Source organism: Homo sapiens, chromosome 9 (assembly GCF_000001405.40).
Source record: "Homo sapiens chromosome 9, GRCh38.p14 Primary Assembly".
Taxonomy (NCBI): Eukaryota; Metazoa; Chordata; class Mammalia; order Primates; family Hominidae; genus Homo; species Homo sapiens.
Window position 1 is genome coordinate 108,859,025 of NC_000009.12, and position 6,000 is coordinate 108,865,024.

The window sequence follows — 6,000 nt, forward strand, 5'->3', positions numbered from 1 at the left end:
AAATGGACACAGTCTTGGGACCTGGGTGTCCACACTGGGATCTGAGCTGTGAGAAAGCAGCTCAAAGTGCCTGTTTGGCAAGGATCTTCTTTGTTGGGAGCTCCTGACTCAGGGGTTCTCCAGCATATTCAAGAGTTGGAAAGGCTGTGGTGGGCTCCAGTAATTTTTAAGAAAAACTCCAGGTGATTCATGAGAAGAAATGCCATGCTGGATTTTCTTTTTTTCCCTCCCATTGCTGCTAAAATTCCAGAGGCCTGGCTCACCTCTCCTCCAAAGGTCAAGGGTGGGCAGTGTCCCAAAACTGAAGCCAGGAGCCAGGATGCACCTCAGGCAGAAGTGTGTTCTTTAATCTCACCTTTCCATGTTCTCTCCCTCCACTATAGAAGAGGATCCCAGGGTTGCATTTGAAAAGGGGTCATCCCATGGTTTTTTTGGTCTTGAGCCAGAGGGCTAAAAGTAGGTGTGATCCCATTAGAAAATGTGGCCCAATATATTTTGAGCACTATAGGGTGCCTCTCCCAAGAGGGACCTCACTAGGGACCCCAGAGGGCCCACACAGACCTTAGCTGGTGACAATTATGGGGGGTGTGTGTGCTAGGCAGTGGAGGTTTGGGGCACGGTGTCCACAGTCTCTGCATTCTTCCATCATTACCACTAACCGTGTGATGACCCATAGAGGGAGAGAAGAGGCACAGAGGGTAACAGGAAGCTTAGGGGAAACAGGGTTTTTATTAGGAGCACCCAACATGTGAAACTCAGTGGTGAAGTAAAAGGAGGGCAAGTGTTTCATTGGCTTTTGCTCAGAGAATGTGAGGGGAATCCCTATGCTCAAGGACCTTACAGACTAGATAGAGTGACTGCCTTACACTAAAGCATCACCTCTTCCACACACAAATGCAGAAAGTGTGATGACAGATGACAGATGGGCAAGCCTGGGCAGCCCACGAAGAGCAAATGAGTCAGAGCATGTCAGGCTTGGAGTGTATTAGCAAAGAGGGAGGCACTGAACAGGTGAAAGGGTCCTCCAAAGGTGTCCACATCTTAATCCCTGGGACCTGTGACTATATTAACTTTCATGCCAAAAGGGATTCTGTGGATGTGATTAAATGAAGGAATCTGAGATGGGGAGAGTATCCTGTATGGCCTGGGTGGGGCCAATGTAATCACAAGGGTCCTTATATGGGGGATACAGGAGGGTCAAGGGCAGAGAAGCAGATGTGACAATGACAGCTCTAGTCTGAGAGTCTTCCAAGATGGAGGAAGGGACTATGAGCCAAGGAACACAGGTGGCCTCTAGGAGCTGGAGGCAAGAGGAAGTATTGTCTCCTACACCTCCAGAAGGAATACAGCCCTGAAAGAACCTTAATTGTAGCCCACTAAGAAGAATTACGAACTTCTGACCTCCAAAATAGTAAGATAATAACTGTGAATTGCTTTAAGCCACTAAATCCATGGTAATTTGTTACAGCAGAAACAGGAAGCTAATACAGGCTCTTCTAGGAGTCCAGGTTAGTGAAAAGGCACCAAGCAGCTATAGATTTCGCAACATTCAAGTAGGGTTTGGGAAGAAAAAAATGGAGGGTTTTAAATTACATATGCCTTTGGTTACCATATACAGCACTTTTGAAATAAAGTCAAACAATCTGAGTTGCCCACGCAAATCCCTGAACGGCAGAGGCAATTAAACTGTTTTTCAGGCAGCCAGGCATCAAAAGTACTTTCCTATTTTTCCTTTAAAATTCCATGCTATTATCTCACCCACTAACCAATGAAGCAAGAAACTGAGATTTTGTCCTTGGGATGACACCTTGCTGCCCCCATCAGATAGTCACCACAAACCTCATGAGACTGGACTTGGTCCTTTTCTTCTCTCATACCCAACAAGGAACTGAGAGCAACTCCCGTAGCCTCTCTAAAGGAGAAAGCCCATTATTGTGGTGACTGCCTCTTTTATGAAGGGCTGGGATCAGGTTCAGGGTGTGGCATAACATAAGGTTGGATTCTGCCCTGAGTGTGGCAGGCATCCACACCAATGTGTCCAGCTTCAGAAATGGCATGCAAGATGGTGGCCAAACAGCCTAAGAGTTGCACGCTAGGTCCCATCAAGCTGTGTCCCAGCACATCCTGGGGAGGAAGCCACAGTCAGGAGAGCTTGGCTACTCCTGGTTGGATATCCTTGGGTGAGCTATGCACCTAAAAGCCTCAGTGTTGTCAGTGGGATTTTGTAGAGTCTAATTTCACTGTCTAGCCAATGACCCTGATGAAGGCACAGTAAGTGTACACATGTATATCCAAAAATAATTCCCCTTAAGGTTGTTCTAAGGGTCACCCTTAGTGCCCTTAGTCACCATAGCAGCAAAGGATTCCCACTAACATCTAAATCAGATGGTGTCAGTGCTCTGTGCCAAATCCTCTAGTGCTTTCTGACCTTACCCACGATCCTTGCATTGGCCTATGAGGCCTACCATGAGCTGCTTGCCTTCCCCCACCCCATCTCATCTACTTTTCCTTACTCCTTCTATGCCAGCCACACTTTTCTTCCTGCTCCTCCTTTAACTCGAGAGGTCGGCAAACTTTTTAAGGGTCAGTCAGTATTTACTTTCTTTCAGCTTTTTGGGCAATGCAGTCTTCAATGCTGTGACTCAGCTCTACTGTTGTACTGCAATGGCAGTCACGGACAATACGTACATGAATGAGCACGGCTGTATTCCTATCCAACAAGCCGGGGACCGGATTGGACTGCAGCCTGCTGACCCCTGATCTAACTCTTCAGTCACACATCTGCCTCCAGTCCTCTGCACCTGCTGCTCCCCTGACATACACATGGCTCTCTCCCTCACCTCCTGCAGGTCTTCATTCAAATGTCACCCTCTCAGGAAGCCCTGCCCAGGCCACACTAGCACTGCCACCCTGCTTTTGCTCTTAACGCTCATTTTGGTTATTGTCTGTCACCCCCACCCGCCACCGACTAGAATAAGGGATTTTGTCTGTTTTTTTCACCAGCGAATTCCCAGCTGCCTTGTATATAGCAGACATTCAAGAAATATTAATTAATTGAATAAATCAGTCTTGTTACGAAATTTAGGAAAAGGGGAGCCATTTCAAAAACAATATCCCAAATGTACCCTAACACAGGATAAGGGTTTGCAATATCTAGAAAGCCCAGGTCACCAGATTACATCATAATTAGTGATGTCACTGTTGGGAAAATTCTCAGGGTATCCTCTGATGTAGGCCTTTCAGGCCTTGAATCCAGTGGGATTGAGAACTTTCTAAGAGTGGTGCGGCTCTTGACAACATGTGGGCTCCACCAGCAGCAATCATGGGGGATGGGCCCACCAAGAAGGTGGGCAACCAGGCCCCCCTGCAGACACAGGCCCTCCAGACTGCCTCTTTAAGGGATGGCCCGGCGAAGCGGGCCGTGTGGGTCCGCCATACGAGTTCAGAGCCACAAGAACCTACTGAATCAAAGGCAGCCAAGGAGAGGCCCAAGCAGGAGGTGACCAAAGCAGTGGTCGTGGACCTGGGCACTGGCTACTGTAAATGTGGCTTTGCCGGCCTGCCAAGACCCACCCACAAGATCTCAACAACGGTGGGCAAGCCCTACATGGAGACCGCCAAGACTGGGGATAATCGCAAGGAGACATTCGTGGGGCAGGAACTCAACAACACAAACGTTCATCTCAAGCTGGTTAACCCTCTGCGACATGGCATCATCGTGGACTGGGATACAGTGCAGGATATCTGGGAATATCTCTTCCGACAAGAGATGAAGATCGCCCCGGAGGAGCATGCGGTCTTGGTTTCAGACCCGCCACTGAGCCCACACACCAACAGAGAGAAATATGCTGAAATGCTGTTTGAAGCCTTCAACACCCCTGCAATGCACATCGCCTACCAGTCGCGCCTGTCCATGTACTCCTATGGAAGGACCTCCGGCCTGGTGGTGGAGGTGGGCCATGGCGTGTCCTACGTGGTCCCCATCTACGAGGGTTATCCTTTGCCCAGCATCACCGGAAGGCTGGACTACGCGGGCTCTGACCTGACAGCCTACCTGCTGGGCCTGCTGAACAGTGCGGGGAACGAATTCACCCAGGACCAGATGGGCATCGTGGAGGACATCAAGAAGAAATGCTGCTTTGTGGCCCTGGATCCCATTGAGGAGAAGAAAGTCCCTCTCAGTGAGCATACGATCCGCTACGTGCTGCCGGATGGGAAGGAGATTCAGCTGTGCCAGGAACGGTTCCTCTGCTCGGAGATGTTCTTCAAGCCATCTCTCATCAAGTCCATGCAGCTGGGCCTCCACACCCAAACCGTGTCCTGCCTTAACAAGTGTGACATCGCCCTCAAACGGGACCTCATGGGGAACATCCTGCTCTGCGGGGGCAGCACGATGCTCAGTGGCTTCCCTAACCGTCTGCAGAAGGAGCTAAGCAGCATGTGTCCCAATGACACCCCGCAGGTAAACGTGCTGCCTGAAAGAGACAGTGCCGTGTGGACCGGTGGCTCCATCCTGGCCTCACTTCAGGGTTTCCAACCATTGTGGGTCCACCGCTTTGAGTACGAGGAACACGGGCCTTTCTTCCTCTACAGAAGGTGCTTCTGAACAGCGACGAGGATGGACACTGCACTGGCAGTGCCTACCCTCGACAGGGTGAGCGCACTCCTACACACAGGGGGTGGAGCCGGCGCTTATTCCTGTAGCATTAAACACCCCTCATATGCCCCTCCACAGTGTGTTTCTCTACTTCCTGACTTCATAAGAAACAACTTCACACGTGCAGCGTCTGCCTTAAAATATACATTTCCCAAAACAAAAGCAGGAGTAGGGGGAGGATGAACAAAAAAGGGCATGCATTGTATGTGGATTGCTTAAACATTCACTTGTTCTAAAATTATGCTGCCCCTTATTTTGTGCATTCCCCGCTTTAGGAACTACTTTACGGTTAAACTCTGCTTGGAAGGGGGAGTGCAATGAAGATTAGAGGGTAAATGCTGTTGGGGCATATAAGCAGTTCCCTTTCCATAAATGCCAATAGGAAGTATGCTGTAACAGTGCAAACTCCCACAAAGCATCAGTGTCCATTTCATACTTCATCAACAACCCTGAGGGACTGGAAAGAGCTGGCAAAGCTGTCTGAGCCCTGCTTTAACAGGAGTTTCTTTTAGTTCCAACAGTCATTTATGTCTCAGTACCAGTTCTTACTAAGCCATCACAGCGACTGGCTGCTGAAGCCTAGCATATTACAAGCAAGGCATTTGTATGTGCCTTAAAGGGCAACTCTTCAGAGAACAAGTGCTATACAGATTTCCCATTTTAAAAACTGAAGTAAGACTGATCTTGGGTTATCAGCAGAGAGGTTAGGGATTGAGGCCACAGTCATTCTCTAGACACTTCAAGTAGTAGCTGACCATCTCCCAGCAGACTGGATTCTCCATCAGCCTAGAACACACACGGTTGGAGTCTGGGGTGTGCTGAGGATAGAGGCTGCTGGTTCTGGGGCTGATGATATGGGTCTGTGGGAGGCTGCCCTATGTGGGTCATTCTAACCCCACTGGGGAGCCCAAAGATACACAGAGACCCTCAGTAGCCAGGGAAGCCCTTCCAGGGCCCAGCGAGCTCTCTGGTGTTCCTGCAGGGGGAGTTTGTAATATGAGCACTTTAAATTGGAGATTCTTTAGAACAGCCTCCAATACATTCTCTGTCTTGTCTTTAAAGTTCAAAATCTGAACACTAGTTGGTGCACAAAACAGAGGATAGAACATGGGCTCTGGACTCTGTGGTTTGAAACGCAATTTTGCTACCACCTAACTGTGACTTGAGTTTGTTTGCTTGCCTGCAAAACTGAGTATAAATGCCTACCTCACACAGCTGATTAAAAAACAGCGAAAAATATCTGAATACCAGTATCTAGACTCCTGGGGGTCCTCACAATAGCTAGCTAGTATCTTTAGGTTTCTACCTCTTATGCAGAAGGCCAGAAGTCTCTTACTATAGTC

General features: G+C 49.0%; 1 protein-coding gene across 1 annotated transcript; it reads left to right on the forward strand.

Moving 5' to 3' along the window:
- Positions 1 to 3,241: 3,241 nt before the first annotated feature.
- Positions 3,242 to 4,732, forward strand: ACTL7A (actin like 7A). Its single transcript, NM_006687.4, has one exon. The coding sequence runs from the start codon at positions 3,299 to 3,301 to the stop codon at positions 4,604 to 4,606; it is 1,308 nt and encodes a 435-aa protein (NP_006678.1). The 5' UTR covers positions 3,242 to 3,298; the 3' UTR covers positions 4,607 to 4,732.
- Positions 4,733 to 6,000: the final 1,268 nt, after the last annotated feature.